This window comes from Homo sapiens, chromosome 7 (assembly GCF_000001405.40).
Source record: "Homo sapiens chromosome 7, GRCh38.p14 Primary Assembly".
In the NCBI taxonomy this organism is placed as follows: Eukaryota; Metazoa; Chordata; class Mammalia; order Primates; family Hominidae; genus Homo; species Homo sapiens.
Window position 1 is genome coordinate 133,358,730 of NC_000007.14, and position 18,720 is coordinate 133,377,449.

Consider the following 18,720-nt stretch of genomic DNA (forward strand, 5'->3'; position numbering starts at 1 on the left):
GATCTCATTATAGTACCTTTAAAAGCACTGTGTCTTTCATAGGAGTTTCATCTTTTTTTTTTTCCCCTTGCCTAAACCCCTTCCAGAATTCACGAGTGGAAATTATAGCACTAGAAGTATAATAGAAATTCAGCACACTGCCCTGGGAAATACTAAATGTTTCTCTATGAGGAATGAGTCAGCAGCAGGATTTTTTTCCCTGTTAAGTGTCTTTCGTTTGTCCGTATTTTAGAAAGCTTTTGTAGGCAGGATATATTGGACACTAACAAGTGAATGAGCTGTTTGCCTTGGCTGTATGTATAAACATAATCCCATTTTATAAAACATACAAATTCAAGATTTGGGACCCAAACTGTTTATTATGAGACAAAATAGTACAGAGAAAGCAAGTATTTAGAGTAAACCACTTTGTTAGAAGATCAAAGATTAAATTTTGGGGCTGGGATTCCAAAGGACTGATAATTTTGAGCTAGTCTCTAGTGGTTATGTGCTGTCAAATGCTTTAAAACTTTCAAGGAATTAATTCTCTTGAATTAAGCAGAGTCATTCAAAAATGATCAGCATTGTTGCTTCTAGAGGATTGGAATTTTAGAAGCAATATTGTCAAATTATCATTTGAAGCTTGTGGTGCTTTTGTGCATTGACTCTTACTTAGGAAGGTATTAGTGGCATTTATTTCAGAGAGAAGTAAAATCACAATACTTGGCATTATTTATTATTGTTTACCATTCAAGGAATTTTATGGCTAAAGATATATGAATTTATTTTTTTAAAGAAAGTTGGAACAGAGACCAAAAAATCCATGAATCCTGTTTCCCAACATGAAAATTTTCTCCCCCACCCTCCAGTGAAATATCCTGTTCCAAAACATTAGTTATTCTGAGACAAGATACCCATACTGTAATTTTCCCTAAAAGTTTCATCATCTTATTAAATATATTCTGGTTGTGATGCATTGCAGGCTTGTTTTCATTTGTCTTTATATAAAGAGAATTAATGTTGTGTGCTATTTTGCTAGAAATGTAGAAGGAAACAAACTAGTGAATTCTTTCTTGCTTTTAATTCCTACAGAGCCAGGATACTTTCCCAGCCAGTTTTTTAAAAAATCACTTTGGTGACCTACTTATTATTTTATTTTATTTTGTTTTTGATCTCCCAAACTATCTGTTGTCTATTTATAGGAGAAATATTTTGTCTTTTCTGTTCATTCATAATCTATCAGTGTCTTTAAGCCTCCACTTACTATTAAATGAAAATATTCAACCACAATTATTGCCAACTTGATAAACATTAGGGTAACATGTGCCTTGCTAATTTACCAGAACCACCTGCTACCCATTATTTCTCTAGAAAGACAGGCAGCGTCTTCAACTTCAGATGGTGACTGTGGCCTGAAGCCTCTGCATTTCAGAATCAATTTCTTCAACTCCTGCTGCCTAATTGTTGATTCTTTCCCAAAATCTGATTCATGAGTATTTTTATATTATTTTTATTTGAAAGAAGCTGGAAGGAGTTCTGTACTTAACAAATAAGAAAAGCATAAGGAAGAGATGGAAGAAAAACTTCTCAAAGATGTGGTATCTTGTCAAGAATATGGAAGAAAAGAATGTGGGAAAAGAGAATGGTTGGTATGTGTGAGGGAAATGGACCTGTTTAAATGCAAAGGCAAAAATTCATTGCAGGAAGGGATGGTGGAGGTCAGCTTCACTTAGGTAGAGCTGTAGGTCCTAGAGAGTGCAGAAGGCGTTGAGTGAGTTGGAGCCGTTGCTTCCAGGGAGACCTTTCTCTCTTTTGGAAGGAAACCATTTTAAAAGGTTCATTGACTTCTGTTATGAAGAAAAAGATTAAATGTCAGATGTGAAAAGCAGAGAACTTTGTGGGTTTTGGGCTTGTTGTAATATTGAAGAAAGCTTCATGGAAAACATGGGAAAGAAATATACTTTAATGCTAAAAGTAGTTGTGTTTGGTTAGTAGGGTTGTAGTCTTTGCTTTTTCATCTCTGTTTTGCACCTCAAGTTATAGTGAAAATAATTCATTGTCAAAAAATTAAATTATTACTCAGGTTATTTTAATCACAAGAAATTATTAGAAATAAAAATGCCTGTGGGGGTATGAATGTTCATAAAACTAAATTTTAATATTGAAAAATATAATACCTGTTTTTAAACCAACTTGACATCATTCATTAATTTTATTATATATGTGTATCTTTATATATATTTGGTTATTTATTGGCTGCCTCTAGAATGGAAGAGAAGAGAGCACTAGTTTGTCTTGTTCAGTACTGGTGTATCTCCAGAATCTAGCACAGTGCCCACCTGACCCATAATAAATATTTGTTGATTGCAAGAATAAATTCCACATTTATGAAATATCTGCCATGGACCAGACATTGGGTAAAATGCCCAACAAATTATATGTGGTCCCTGTCCTCATGGAGTTTAAAGCAGGAAGGAAGGCGTTACTCAAAGAACGCTAAGATGTGAGAATGAAAGCAGCCAGATTCTTGATATGCCATTTTCACTGTTTTTGCTTACCTCTGTATTGATTAAATTTTTTCTTTTTTTTGGAGACGGAGTCTTGCTCTGTTGCCCAGGCTGAAGTGCAGTGGTGTGATCTTGGCTCACTGCAAGCTCCGCCTCCTGGGTTCACACCATTCTCCTGCCTCAGCCTCCCAAGTAACTGGGACTACAGGTGCCTGCCACCACGCCCGGCTAATTTTTTGTATTTTTTGTAGAGACGGGGTTTCACCGTGTTAGCCAGGATGGTCTCCATCTCCTGACCTTGTGATCTGCCTGCCTCGGCCTCCCGAGTGTTGATTAAATTTTAACTGTTGCCAACTGTGCTTTGCTTAGAGATGATACCAATTTTTCATGTAATGGATAATGTTTGAGAGTTCCTATATCCCCTTGCCAACAGATTGTATTATCAAATACTTTTATCCTTGCCAATCTGAGAGGTAAAAAATGGTATTTTTGGATTTGCATTTTTATTGTAAGGTTACACTTCTTTTCGTTTGTATAAAAGTAACTTGTCATGATATCTGGGTTATATATGGATGTATTACTTCAAAATAAAATGAGTTGCAAATGAGTGAAGATATAGATACAATAAGCCATGAAATGATACTGAAGCAGGGTGATAGGTACAAGGTGGTTCATTATCCTATTATCTTCACTTTTTTAATGTTTGAAATTTTCAACAGTACAATGTTTAAAGTGTTTATTTCCTTTTCAATGAATTATTTTTCTAACATGTTTGTCTCATTGATTTGTAGGAACTCTTTACATATATAGGAAATTTGTTCTTTGGGATTTATTTTGTAATTTTCTGCCAGTTTCTTTCTCTTTTGACTTCATGATGTTTCTGGGCATGTAGACATTTGTTTTAATTTTTTATGAGGGTATATTTATCAGGTTTTATAGCTTCTGGGTTTTGTGTCATACTTAGAGCTTCCCTACTCTTAGATTATAATAAAATTTTCAACACTTTTCTAGTACTTATATAGTCTCATTCTTAATATTTATATCTTTGATACATCTGGGATCTGAAGGAGTGACCAAACGACTTTTGAGCACACCTGACACATACTATACTGTATTGTAAGGGGTTGTACACCCTTTTCTTTTCTGTCATCCATGTGTCTGTCATGTAATTGTCCATGTTAGCTGCATAATTGCTGAATAATTCTAACGCTGAGTCGTTTATCATATGGTGATGGTTCTTCTCAAGGTTGGTATTTGCCACATTTTCTAAAACTCTTTTTTTCCTCCTGGTTTCTCAGTCTGTGAAGACTATAGATTTTCAGAAATACGTTGAATTATTGCTCTAAAATTGGAAAAATATACTTTTGAAATATTTTTTATAATTTGGAGGCCAGAATTCAGAATGAGGGCATACTGCTGTAATAGAACTTTCTTATAAAATGGTTTTATCTGTGAGGAAGACTAAAGGCTCAGGCCTCAAGGATAGTTTTATAGTATGAATACAATGTTTATGGAAGGAGAAATAAATGAAATATTGCTCATGATTTTTTTTAGACCTGTGGCTAGATTCAGGCATGAGTTTCTATTTCACATAAATAGCATTTCGTTTTATCTCTTCTTTCTATATTAGTTACCCTTCTTCTAAGTATCCGAAATGCAGGACATGGTGGAATTGGTCATTTTATTTTACAGAAAAGTCATTCAAGAGCAGCTTTGAAGCAAGGTCAGGCATTTTCCTTGTGGCTTCTTATAGCCATTCCCAGGCACCGCATGTAGCACCTGGACATGCTTGGAATCAGGAAGGGCCTCCGTGTAATTTAGATGAGTAGTTAATTCGAATCAAAGCAAGCGGGAAGCAAGTAAATTTAACTTCAGTGATTATGATTCCATTTGATTAAATCTCTACTTTTGATTACACATATCATGAGAACATGCTTTAAATATACCCAACTATTTAATATTGAAGGGGATGAATAGGATGAACCAGGGACATATAGAAGAAATTCCACTATTCTTCAACTAGGATATGTCCCCTGCAGCTTAACTGAAATATTTTTAGAACAAATGAAAGGATAATTTTTTTTACATATGGGACTTGTTACTCCAATTGTTAACTAAAATATATAACTCATTACCATGAAAGGTCCCAAGTCTATATACTTTCTAGTAAGACTTAAATAAATTAATGGATAATAGCTCCATCACATATACAGTGTCTGAGAAATGTCAATAATGTTCATAGTTCTTTTGTAAACATGAGTTTGGACAGCTATCATTCTGGTTGTGTATTGTCCTTTGGTTATAGTCATTAGAGAAAGGCTTCTTGGCTGAATAGGCCAGAGATGTTACTCAATATTACATTTCTTAAACCTTTGTGTTTTATGTGGCAAAGTTAAAAAAAAAAAAAAAAAAAACCTACTCTCGATTTCTCTTGTTTTACATATTATAGTAGGTTCAAATTAAAGATCTGACCAGTCAAAGAAATAGAGACAATCTGTTTCATGGACTGTAATAACTTTATTTAGATGGCAGCCATCATGCTGTATCAAGGCCACTTCTCTGTTTGCTAGAGTGGGAGCTGCCTTAGGTTTTGTCATTTTTGTGCACTTGCTATTGTTATAATAGGAAAGGCACTCCAAGTTCAAAATAATACTGGATCTTTTCATTGCAAAAATGAACTAACAAACCTATGTCAAAAGAAATTCTTACGTTGATGATGTGTAGGGGTGGTGTCATATATGATTAAAGCACCTTCATGTGTCTCTCAGGCTGTATTTCAAATTGTCTGGGTCTTCTAGCTCCTGCCCCATCCTCTTGCTATAGTCTCTAATCAGATTGGACTGTGAGTTTATAAGGGGAGGTAACTTTGTGTTTGCAGCCTGATTTAGGGCTGGGCACATACGAAATGCCTACAAGTTTATTTTTATGGAGATGTGGTCTCACTCTGTCGCTGAGGCTGGAATGTAGAGGCCCAATCATCATGGCTCACTGTAGCCTTGACCCCCCCTGGGCTCAAGAGATCCTCCTGCTTTAGCCTCCTGAGTAGTTGGGACTACAGTTATATGACACGATGCCTAGCTATTTAAAGTATTTTTTTTTTTTTTTTAAGAGATAGTGTCTCACAGTGATTGCCCAGGCTGGCCTTGAACTCCCGGTCTCAAGAGTCTTTCCACTTTAGCCTCCCAAAATACTGGGATTACAGGTGTGAGCCACCATGCCTGGCCAGTTTTAATGAATGAATGAATAAGAAAAAGATGCAAATAAGGTCATTTAGTGGAAGTTATTATTATTATTTTCAGCACTACTCACAGTGGGTCTATGGACCCACATCACCAGTGTCACTAGAGAGTTGGAAATGCAAATTTCCCCAAGAAGCAGTGGTTATTAAATTGGAATGTTTGGATGCAGGGCCCACAGGACTCTATGCCTTAGTTGATTCTTATGCACACTGAAGTTTGAGAACACTCTTTAGATAACATCACAAACATCATAGAATTTTGCAGTTTTGTAGTATTCACGCTTTGCAAAGCCATCTGCCATCTGGTATCTCACCTGAGTGAGCCTCACCACTTGCCTCCTCACAGGCAGGGGCATTATTATTAATCCCAGATTTACCCAGAGAAATGTGAAAGCTGAAATAATTTGACAGTTCACAAAGCTTGTTCGTGGTGCAATTAAGATTAGAAGTAGTCTTTTTCCACCATGTAAGTTTGCTTTCTGGCTTATATAAACATGATGTTTCCAACCCATGTCATGGGCCTGATTTTGTTTGTCCTCAGAAGGACGATATCTGTACTAAATATCCATTTTCCTGCCCATACCTCACACTGTGGTCAGTGGCAGGCCTCAGAGATAGCTGGACATGTTGAGAAGCGTGAAAAGCAGCCACAGAGTGCCTGGATTTTAATTAGGTCACTTGAGAATCAAATTTTATTATCTAAACAATTCCTCTAGGGGCATTCTTGTACTAGGAACAATATAGTACTAAGAACAACAAAGCACTTGTACTAAGAACAACAAAGCACTAAGAATATGCACCTAAAATCTTAACTTTTGTTATCCCTGGGAAGTGGATTTATGGATCATTTTTCTAATATTCCACTATGATGAAATGTTATTTTTGGAATGGGGGAAAGGATTTCAAAAGAATGATACTGATACTTTAATTCAAAGAAATAGGGCCTGGGTTTATTTTCTAATTTTAGCCACAAATTTGGCATACATCAGGATTAGACGTTTGAGGTCATCTCTCCAGAACTCAGAAACCTGACTTGACAAGGAGGGAGTAACACAGGAAGGAAGTGACTAGCACCAGGCCCCACTTCAGTATTCTTGTTATTTTTACTGTGTTTCATTCTATATTACTACTAATTTTTTCTTGCTCTTTTCATAGAGCAGATGGAGAATTAGTCAGCACTCTTTAAATAGTAACCCCTTTTTACATGAAGACTTATTAATAAGTGGTAAAACGTATTTCTATCCCTTAGAAGTAGGTATTAGATAACCTTGAAGATTAAATGGGCTCCATGTCCTATTTGAAATGAAAAATAGTAGCTCAGCCAGGCTTATTAAGGAAATGTGTATGAGAGATATGGGCAGGTAAAACAAAGACCATTTTTATCTAATTATACGTTTCTTTTTATAAAATTATAAAGTTTTTATATAAAGTCTACGCTCTGAGTTCACTACTTTCTTACCTTTTAGAGCATAATCGTAGGGAAATAAACATTCTATGGTTATTGCTTTTGTCAGTGGGGAAAAGCATAACCCTGATATTAAAGTCTCAGCAGACAAGTAATAGAACAGAACTAATTCTTCTATCTTGTGTGTGTCTTTGCTTCGTGACCAAGTAAGGCAGCTTCTTGGCTGCAAACGTGGGTTTTCCAGCCAAATGACTAATTCAAGGTTCCCTGGATGTTAAATTTAGATTCAGATAGTCTTATCTCACCTTAAATATTGAGCATTTTTCACAGCTTGATGATGTAGCTTTACACTGTTGATGCTTCTTGCCTTCTGCAACTGTGACTGTTCCTTAATATGTGCCTCTTCTTAGCCTTCTGCCTTTTTTCATGGTAGCACTTGAAGATGAGATACCTAGGGATCACTTGGGGCTGGAAGTTAATAGATGATCTGGGAGAATAAGTAACATTTTACTTCTCTAGGAAGTCTGGTTTTAAAACCTGCTGGGTAATTAGAAGTGTGTTTAAAGAATAAACACTTTCTTCATCCTGTTACTTTTCTGTTTTTTAAATATAAAATAGATTTTATTGCCATATTATTAAAGTTGGCTCTTAAAGTTTGTATCTTTCAGTTCGTAACTGTACTTCATGTTCTCATGTTTAGCTTGGTAAGGTTACCTTTTTGAGAGCATGGTTTTGTGTGAAATATTTTTTATTGTGGGCTTCTAAAATCAGGAGGTTATAATCTATAACACTTACTTTCTTACCACCTCTTATCTGTAATCAGGCCTCTCTCCCATTTTGCTGGAGCCCACTTTTTCATTCCTTTATCAACAAATATTTATTGCCTATCATATGCTATTTTGCCAATCAGTGTCATGCCAAATATTGGAATACAGTAATAAATCAGAAACTCATACCCACAGTGAGCTTACAGTAGAGGGGAAGAGGAAAGGACTGGAGGGAAGGAGAGACTAGTTTGAAGACAGTTTTAATAATCCTGGCAAAAGGCAACATGGCCGGCATGAGCAAGGTAACCGTGGCAATGGAGTGAAGGAGGCCTATTTGAGAGAGAGTAAAGAGGTAGCAGTAAAGAGACTTGGTGATGGCTTGGGTATGAGGGAGGAGGGGAGGTAAGGATTTTTTGCTGGGGCAAGCATTACCATTTACTGATGTAGAGAACATGAAGAAGTAGATTTGGGGAAGAATATGATGAGTTCCATTTAAGTCATATTAAGTTAGCGGTCTACAGCTCAGGGGAGTAATCTGGCTAAGGGATATGTGTGTGAGTTGATAGCAGGTAGATAATTGAAGATTAGGGGCAAATGAGCTCAGCTAGAGAGAGTATGAGGGGGTTGAGAAGAGTTTACCGCATTTAAGGAACAGGCTGAGGATGAGGTTCCTGAGAAGGAATAACTGGAGAGGTGGCAGGAAAGCAGAAGAGTGGAGGGTTGTGGAGCCAGTGGAAGACAGTGTTTCAAGGAGGCACAAGTGGGCAGTAGAAACAAGTGCCGCGGCTATTTGATTAGAGGCCAAAGTGGGTTTCTTGGATGGAGCAAAATAATTATTTGGGACTTTTAGCAACAGCTGTTTTAGTAGGGTCCCAGGGGTGAAAACCTGTTTGCAGTGAGAAGGAAGAGGCAGTACAGACAGTTCTGTTGGCTCTCTTTCTAGCCTTGGCTTCCCTAGCATTATAGAGTACTAATATCACTTTGGCCTCTCTTCTAAAATACTTTCCCTGTTTTCTAACGCCCCTAAAAAGGGACAGTCTCCAGAACTGTGTCCTTTGTTCTCTTATCTTTGAACTTCAGTTTCCTTGTCTATAAAATGGCGATAAAGTAGTACCTTCCTTATAGGGCTGCCCTAAGGATGAAATGAGATAATCCAAGTAAAGTACTTAACACAGTGCTCGGCATGTTGTGAGTAATTAGGAAAGAGTGGCTGTTATGACCATAGTTCTCCTTTTTGTTGCTGTCATGATTTCATTGTCATTGTCACTGATACTTCATTTCAGTCTTACTTTCTTAGGGATCTCCTCCATTATGACAGGTAGCTAACTACCTGCCCCTTGTAGAAGAAGGACCCCAGATCATCATCTTTCATCCCAGACTTCTGCTTATATTGCCATCCTGCATTGCTCATTCTTTTACTCATGAACTCGTTTGCCCTCAAAATTTGACTGTTTTCTCCATTCTGGACATTGGTCCATGTGTTGTAGGAGAGATGTGTTTACAAAGAACCATAAAATAGGGATTCTGCCTACACTTTCTGGCCCAGGAGGCCATGCATACCTGTTTTGTCACTTCTCTCAGTTCATTGTAATAGTTTGTTTGGAGGGACTGTAGAATCACAGAGGAAAGAGAGAATTGGTTCTTACTCTGTGGATTAGGCCTCTTTTGGTTATAAGTGCCAGGAATTGAAATCACCTAACTTAATCAAAGAGGGGCTTTTTATTAGAATGATACAGAATTATTATTATGGAATATAAGCAGGACTTTACTAATCAAGCTGTAAGAAGGAGAGAGATGCAGCTGGGCCTTAGGAACATCCAGAGTATCTATTATCTCCTTTCCTTCCCTCTAGATGGTAAATGTTAAAGATACAGGAATTAATTCATTGTTACTTTTAATTTGCTTTTTTTTAAGTGTTACATTCATATATATTTTTGTATGTAGCTCTCACAGTCAATTTCTGAGGAACGTGAAATTTGGAGAAGTCTATGATGTCTTGAAAGTCCCATGTCTATTTAATAGAGAGCTGGTATTCAAGTCCAGGTTTCTAACTGGTATTTATACCACATTGCCATCTAGGATTAATATTTTCTTTCACTAACTGTGATGCTGCATTGAGTATTACTACATACTGTTTTGTGGCTTTAGAAATAACTTGTGAGAGAGGGGTATGTGTGTTATTTTTTTCTGAAGGGTAGAAATTGCAATTAATTGAAATTAAAATCTCTAAAGTTCTTGGGCCTTTACTAATTCAATTCAGCTTAAGGAATCCTGAGGTAATTTAATGATCTTGCCTGCTCTTTTGTCTTTTTTAGATCAGTGGTGAAAACCTTTATCCTAGCAGTATGTAAGCAACTGAGCTAGCTGCAACATAATGTTTTATTTCTTTTATTTAATATTTTCTGTTGGGAGTTGGGCAGGGAATGATTTCACTGGGGCATTGTGTTTTCATCCTTAGTGTGTCTGCAGCTAAAGGCAAACAACTCTTTCTCAATCTTGTGTTGTGGGCAGTCAGAGAGTGTATATAAATATTAACAACATATTTCAGTTTATTTCTGGTAGCTTTAAATTGGGACAAGCTAGTGCAGATTTACATCCTGTTTATGTGAATGATTCCTAATCTCTTATTCTTTGCTGCATCAGAGGAGCGTCGTCTTCCTTTCTCCTTTTCTTTTTAAAGGAGTGTACGTGCTGGTGAGGGACAACATATGATTGACTTTGGTTTCTTTTTCCTTATTAGTCATTCACTGCTTATCCCACTACTGAGTTCCACTCAATGATCCACTGAAACCCTTCTTGTCAAGGTCACTGGGGACCTTAAGTTGTAAATTTCTCTCTCTTAGCCTTACCATAGCCTTTGACTCTGCTGGTATTCTCTTCTCTTTGGTCCTCTGCAATGTTCCCTGGCTTCCTTCTTCCTCTCTAGTTACTTTCTAACCATCTTTTTAATGATACTCTTTCCTGGAGTGTTGGTCCTGGACCTCACTTGCTTTTCTTATTCTGCATATTATCCCCGAGTGATCTCATCTCCTCAAATATTTATCACTTTTAAAATTTCCAGTATCATTCTCTCTGCTGAGCTCCAGACTTGCATATCTGACTCCCTAAGGATATAACACCTTAAACTTAACATATCCAGATAAAAACCCAGCATCTCTCCTTCTACTAGATTTCCTTTTTTTTTTTTTTTTTTTTTTTGAGACGGAGTTTCGCTCTTATTGCCCAGGCTGGAGTGCAATGGCGCAATTTGGCTCACCCAACCTTTGCCTGCCGGGTTCAAGCGATTCTTCTGCCTCAGCCTCCCGAGTAGCTGGGATTACAGGCATGCACCATGACGCCCAGCTAATTTTGTACTTTTAGTAGAGATGGGGTTTCTCCATGTTGGTCAGGCTCCCGACCTCAGGTGATCCGCCACCTCGGCCTCCCGAAGTGCTGGGATTACAGGCGTGAGCCACTGTGCCTGGCCTCCTTCCAGATTTCTAATTTCACTTTAATTCTCTCTCCCCCCCGCCCACCCTCCCCCCCAAAAGCATAAACCAAAGAGTATCTGAGACAGGTCTCAATCAGTTTAGGAAGTTTATTTTGCCAAGGTTAAGGACGCAGCCATGACATAGCCTCAGGTCCTTACGAAATGTGCCCAAGGTGGTCAGGGCACAGCTAGTTTTTTAATTTTAATTTTAATTTTTATATTTTTATTTTATACATTTTAGGGAGGCATGAGACATCAACCAGTATGTGTAAAATATACATTGGTTTCGTCCGGAAAGGTGGGGCAAGTCAAGCGAGGAGGGGCTTCTGGGTCATAGATAGATAGAGACAAACAGTTGCATTCTTTTGAGTTTCTGATTAGCCTTTCCAAAGGAAGCAATCAGATACAAATTAATCTCAGTGACCAGAGGGATGACGTTGAGTTCTGTCTGTTCTTTGTCCATGAGGAATTTCCGTGTGGACAAAATGTGAGGGAGGTATGTAGCTTTTTAAAAAAATCTTGGTAGCTACTTTTTTAAGGACTAGAATGGGAGGCAGGTTTGCACTAAGCAGTTCCCAGCTTGACTTTTCCCTTTGGCTTAGTGATTTTGGGGTCGCAAGATTTATTTTCCTTTCACACAGGAAAGGTAACCATTCTCCTCAGTGTTGCTCAAGCCAGAAATTTAGACGAAGGAAACTTGAACCTTTCCCTGTCTTTAGAATTGTACCATTACCTCAGCTAGTTCTGTGCATTTCCTAATTCGATTTTTCCAGCAGTGTTGTGAGTCTCTTAGAACAGTTATTAATTAATACTTTCACTTTGCAGACGGGGACACTTGGAGAAGTTGGGAGAATTTTTTTCATAACGAAAGATGTAGGCAGTGTCAGTGCTGGGAAAGAATGGAAATCTATTGTTTCTTACATGTTACTTAAGAAAGAGAAAGAAAAAACCAAGTGAACTAAAAGAGAAAAGTTGATGTCCTCCTGGTAGTAAGAATGTAAAGGAATCAGCTTTCACAACACCTCGCTTTTTGAGATGCCAGGTTTCATTTTTCACTGTTTCATGTATTTCCTCTTCAGTGCTAGAGAGGTGTTGGATCTTCACTCTCCCCACTCAGAGCCATAGCTGCTGTTCTTTTAACAGCTAATTGAGGTATAATTCACTGCTGCACGATTCACCTATTGAAAGTATACAATTCATTGGTTTTTAGTACATTCATAGAGTTTTGCACCCGTCACCACTACCTGGTTCCAGCACGTTTATGTCCTCCCTAAAACAAATCCCGTATACTTATCAGTCAGTTCCCACCCACCCCCAGCCTAAGTAACCACTAATATATTTTGTGTCTCTATAAATTTGCCTATCCTGAATATTTTATATAACTATAATCATATAGTATATGGTCTTCTGTGACCTTTTTTCACTTACCATAGTAATTTCAAGGTTAATTCCAGTTGTACCATGTATCAGTACTTCATTCCTTTTTGTGGCCAAATAATATTCTATTGTATGAATATACCGCATTTTATCCATTTATCAGTTGATGGATATTTGGATTGTTTCCACCTTTGGGTTGTTGCGCATAACACTGCTAAGGACATTTGTGTACAAGTTTTTGTGTGCACGTATGTTTTCATTTCTCTTGGGCATATAGCTAGGAATGGAATCACTGGCTCCATATGGTAACTATGTTTAATGTCTTGAGGAACTGCCAAACTGTTTTCCAAAGCGGCTGCACCATTTTACATTCCCACTGGCACTGTTTGAGAGTTCCAATTTCTCTGCATCCTTACTGATACTTTTTATTGCTTTTGTTTTTGATTGTAACCATCCTAGTGGACCGAAATTCTAGCTCATTGTGATTTTGATTTGCATATCTCTGATGGCTAAAGATGTTAAGCATCTTTTTGTTTGCTTATTGGCCATTCATATATTTTCTTTGGAGCAATGGATATTTAAATCCTTTGTCCATTTTTAAGTTCAGTTGTCTTTTTATTATGAGTGTAAGATTTTAGATTTGTCTTTTATCAGATTAATGATTTACAAATATTTTCTCTCATTTTATGTATTGCCTTTTTACTTTCTTGATGATATCATTTGAAGCACAAACATTTTAAATTTTGGTGTCAGAGCTGTGGGTTTTATTAAATAATATGACACCGTTGTGCTTCGGTAAGGCGGAAGAGAGCTTTCCTCTCGTTAAAATGGCTGGAGGTCTCAAAAAAGGTAGAGCTGCAAGTTCCTAGCTACTATTACACCTCCTTTCCTTCCTCCCTGTGTAGCCTGTCCTGTGGCTATGATGGCCACACTATAGGAACAGGCCTGTTTTGGCTTTGAGCCTCCAGGAGTGGCAGAAACTGGAACTGTGTCAGCATTTTATTAAGAGATTGCTATTTCCAAGATGTTAATAGATACTGTGAATCTCATCTTACACCTCTATTCTCTACTGGTTTTTTTTTTCTCTAAATGTAGCGCTGTTCCTGGCTGCTGAGCAGCTCTTGTCCTTGACTGACAGGCAAGGTATGCAGTTGTGGCACTCATTGGCCCTGGAGATAACCAGATAACAGCACCCCTAACAAGAGGAGCCACTTTTCTGTTAAAACTTTGCTGCTGGTTCACAATCCTGTATCTAGAACTTCATGCCATTGGGACATTAGACACCAGTGTGCCTCAGGCATCTGAATGTCATGGATCAATATGGTTTCAAACCATATTTTGAATACCCCAATATTTACCTTAACATACATTAAGTTTTAATTTTCTCCGGTAAGGACATTTGGCAACATAACTGCCATTCATGGCAGAAAATAACTAAGATTTTCCTATCAAGAGAGTACAAAAGATATAATGTTAAATAAATTTACCTTTGTGAAGAGTCAATATATTATTCATACTTTGCTATCTACCACTCAAAAACATATTACAGTCTGTAGATTCATATTTGAGAACTACAGTCTTACATACCTAGGATAAATCTTTGTTGGAAAAGGAGAACCTTCACTTAATCAGGTATTTACTGATTAAGTTACTGATCTGTATGATGCCAGATACCAGTTTTATACCGATTATTTCCCTGCACCACATTAAGTGTTTCAGTTGGTATGTTTAGACACATGTTTCTGTATTTTGTATGTATCTTTGCTAATATTTGAGTAGTTCTTCAGTAACACAGATGAGAAAGAAGAATTATTTTAGATATATGTGAGTATAAATATGAATTTGACCTTTAAGGATTAAAAAGAATCATCAATCAAAAGGTAGAATGGCTTCTATTTATAAATACAATGTGTAACTTCTGGATTATATATGTATAGTCTAGGCTGGGAGTACTACATAAATTCTATTGATTTTGTCTCATCTGAATTACAATGTCAAATAGATACTAGGGTTTTACCATAAGATAGTTATGGGCTGTCTCATTGTCACATTAATTACAATAATTAGGCAGTAAAGAAGCCATAGGAATAGATAATATGTTGTATGTTTGGATGAGATTGTAGTTATAACCCCTTATTTATGGTAATAAAACCTTGTTAATTGACACTGCTGACAAGCTCTTTTGCTTTCCTTTTCAACTTTCCAAGTTGGTTTATCAGTCTATTTAGGAATTACAAGCTGAGAGCCACAAAATATACAATAAAGCTCACATTGCAAGATTTTCTGTACTTGTTCATGCTATACACATTAAATTCATTCAGCAGTATTTGCTAATTATTGTTCTAAGTGCTCTTAAGTATTCAGAGATGTATAAAGCAGTGCCTACTCTGAAAGATTAATAATGGAGAAGTGAGGTAAAGTATCTATATATAAAGAAATATGACTGACATTTATTGAGCAGCATATGTGAGGCTCATGTGATAAGTTCCTTAAAAGCAGACAAAAGAGTATACAAGTTCAGAGGAAGAAAAGATGATTCCAGGCCTGTGTGATCATTGAAACTATAAGTCTCAGTGGTAGAGGAATTATTTTGCATCTATGCCATAAATCTTTGAGCTATCTATTCTAGAGCTGTAGTGAAAGGTAGGTGGCTAAATGTACTGACATGGAAATCAACTTTTGTTCTAGGCTTAGCTGCACTGCAACCTTATTTTGTGTCCTTGAGTATATAAAATTGATGTAATAATATGTGTCCAGCATATCTCACTGTGATGAATGAGATAATGTGGATGCCTGAGCTTCTCCCTGTGGTGAAAGTCAGATTGCTTGGCAGGTGTATGTTTTTTTTTTCAGGCAACTCAGGCTGTACATTTGGATGGTAGTAAGCATAGCTTTCCATGACTAAATGGATTAATATCCTTATCAAAGTGCCTAATTTATTGCTAGGGAATAGCATATTCTGTGTAACATCTGAGCTGTTGTCTGAAAAAATTACATGAATTCCTTGGAGAAGCTGCCTGTATGAATACATAGTAGTAGTATTGTAATCCGTGAACTATGTTAAAACGGCAACATATGTTTATTGAGATGCTATTGCTGGTTTAGGGGCTTTACAATTGCTTTTAAAATTCTTACATCATTTACATGTTATAGCAGAGGAAACTGAGGCTTAGATAAGTTTTTAAAAGTTGCTTAGATAATACAGTTGTTTGAATTCACATCTGCTGAAATCTAACGTTAATGCTGTTTACATTGTAGAATGCTACTTTAGTTTGATGTTTTTCTTGCAGGTCACTGTAAGCCATTTATCTGCGTGTACGTATGTGTAAATGTTATTTATTTGTTTATGCCACTAGGTTGCTTCTAGAACTGCTGGAGTTACTGTTTGACAAGTTTAATGCTGTAGCCGCTGCACACTCTGTGGTCCTGGGATACCTGCAGGACACTGTAGTGACTCCACTGACTCAGCAGGAAGATATCAAACTGTATGATATGGCAGATGTATGGGTGAAGATCCAAGATGTTCTACAGGTAAGAGCCTTTTACAAAGGGTGTCATCTTGATTCAGAGTAACAGTTTAGAATAACAACAACAACAGCAACAACAAGCCACCTAAAACACTATCTTAAGAGTCATAAACAGGGTGAGAAAGTAATGCTTGCATTTGAATGTGATGTTGCTGATGGCATTAACTTCTACTATCTTCAAAAAACTTTTTAACAGGCTGTGTGCAGTGGCTCATTCCTGTAATCCCAGTACTTTGGGAGGCCAAGGCGGGTGGATCACCTGAGGTCAGGAGTCTGAGACCAGTCTGGCCAACATGGTGAAACCTTGTCTCTACTAAAAATACAAAAATTAGCTGGGCGTGGTGGCGGGCGCCTGTAATCTCAGTTACCTGGGAGGCTGAGGCAGGAGAGTTGCTTGAACTCGGGAGGCAGAGTTTGCAGTGAGCCATTGTACCACTGCACTCCAGCCTGGGTAACAGAGTGAGACTCCGTCTAAACAAAAAAAACCTTTTAACAGACTTCTTTTTTTTTTGGCAGACTTTAAAAATAGAAGCATATTCTCAATATGTATAGTGTCTGGCTTTCTGTCGTAGTATACTTTACTTGACTGGAATTAGTCATATATTAAGGTAAAAAACATTAAAATATTCTTAAGCATTATTTTATAAACATGTACATAGCTTAATTTTGTTGACTATTTCCTTACAGTCAACTTTTGCATATATTGGGTTATATGACAGAACAAGAGCTTATTTTGAGAGATGAGAATAGATCTGTGAGGTATAAATGTATCACTTTGCTTGATTTGTTGAAGATTAGAGGAATAATATTATTCTTTGGTATGATGCTGCTGAAATGATATTTAGAAATTGTATTATACTTTTTCTCCATATGTGAGCAAAATATATTTGATTTAGCCAGATGGAAATTAGAAATATAATTAAGAGTTAGCTGAAGCAAGCTTTGACATAACTAAATAGAAGTAACTTAGTTAGATAGTTTCTGCTAATATGAAAAAAATTAAGTATATGTGGGGAATTGGAAAATGGAACTGTGTAGGAATGAAATTACTTGCATGGCAAATAAGAGTCTTTGCAGAAAAAAGTAAATCATGAATGTAAATTATAGTCATTTTTTAGAATGTAGACATGCTCTTGGTGGATTGAATGGATTGATTCCTGGTTTTTCATTCATTAGACAACTTTTGGTACAGTGTATATGCTTTACTGGTGGTTCAGTAGAAATAATATTGGTTGAAACTTTTTACTGCTTTGTCAATTGCCATGCCTGTAGTACATGCTTGGTGAATATTTTTGTATTGAATAAAATATCTTTATGGGTTGGAGGCTGGTTATTTAACATTTTGCATGTTGATATGTTTATCCGTCTTATGTAAATAATGTGTGCCTTTCGTATCCATGTTTAAGTATGAAATAATAGATTCTAAAGCTAGATAAAAAATAATTAGAAATAGGGACTTCTGTTTCTCATCTTGATGAAGTTACCCTTTGCTGTAAGCAACTTAGGTAGTCAGCACAGTCAGCTGAGAAAAAAGAACACACTAGGTGAGCTTTACCTTCATCCCTGCATCTTCCTCGTGAATACTTTCCAAACTATTAGCCCTTTGGTCAGATATGAAGCTGTGTACACCACAAGGCTTGGCAGGAAACAACTACTGTGGGACTGTGAGCTGAATGAAGATTTCAGAAGTTGGAAACTTCTCAGCAGTGTTGGAGCTCAGACCAGCCAGTGTGGGGAAAGCTTGCTGAACATACTGTGCTTTCAGCTGTGACCTCAGAAAGGTCACACCTTATGAGTAGGGCTATTCTAGGAGTAGAAGACAGGCTACTATAGATCTCATACAGCAAAGCCCCAAACCAAGCCTCTATTTTATCATCTTGATCCACCTGTAAATTTATTGTCTGATAGAACAAAACTCTCTCTAAAGTAAGACAACATAATTCAGTTTCTCAATAACAAAGCACCTGCAATGTCTAGCATAGAATTATTATGCTTGTTAAAAAGCAGGAAAATGTGACTCTTAACCAGAATGAAAAAGTTGATAGAAATAAATATCTAAAATGAAAAATCCACCAGGGAGTGGTGGCTCACGCCTGTAATCTCAGCACTTTGGGAGGCTGAGGTAGGTGGATCATTTGAGGGCAGGAGTTCAAGACCAGCCTGACCAAAATGGTGAAACCCTGTCTCTACTAAAAATACAAAAAAATTAGCTGGGCGTGGTGGCAGGCACCTGTAATCCCAGCTACTCAGGAAGCTGAGGCAGCAGAATTGCTTGAACCTAGGAGGTGGAGGTTGCAGTGAGCCAAGATTGTGCCTCTGCACTGCAGCCTGGGTGACAGTGTGAGACTCAATCTCAAATAAATAAATAAATAAATAAATAAAATGAAAAATTCACCAGATGGATTTAGCTGCAGATAACATACTGTGGAAGAAAGGATCAGTGAATTTGAG

At 37.1% G+C, this 18,720-nt stretch overlaps 1 protein-coding gene across 11 annotated transcripts in view, besides 1 other annotated feature; it reads left to right on the forward strand.

Annotated features, from left to right (window-relative positions):
- Positions 1–18,720, forward strand: part of EXOC4 (exocyst complex component 4) — an 847,874-nt gene that overhangs the window by 105,652 nt on the left and 723,502 nt on the right. For all 11 annotated transcript variants that reach the window (XR_007060126.1, XR_007060125.1, XR_007060123.1 and 8 more), the window contains exon 7: positions 16,099–16,273. Coding sequence is in view for 3 of the 11 variants with exons in the window: in NM_021807.4 (NP_068579.3) it covers positions 16,099–16,273 (175 nt within the window). In the remaining 8 variants the exon portion in view is untranslated. The remainder of the gene's footprint in view (positions 1–16,098; positions 16,274–18,720) is intronic.
- Positions 10,512–10,712: a silencer, noted in NCBI's record as "peak6732 fragment used in MPRA reporter construct". NCBI's record gives its function as "represses an SCP1 promoter by STARR-seq MPRAs in K562 erythroleukemia cells {active_cell/tissue: K562}" and the evidence as "EXISTENCE:reporter gene assay evidence [ECO:0000049][PMID:32103011]".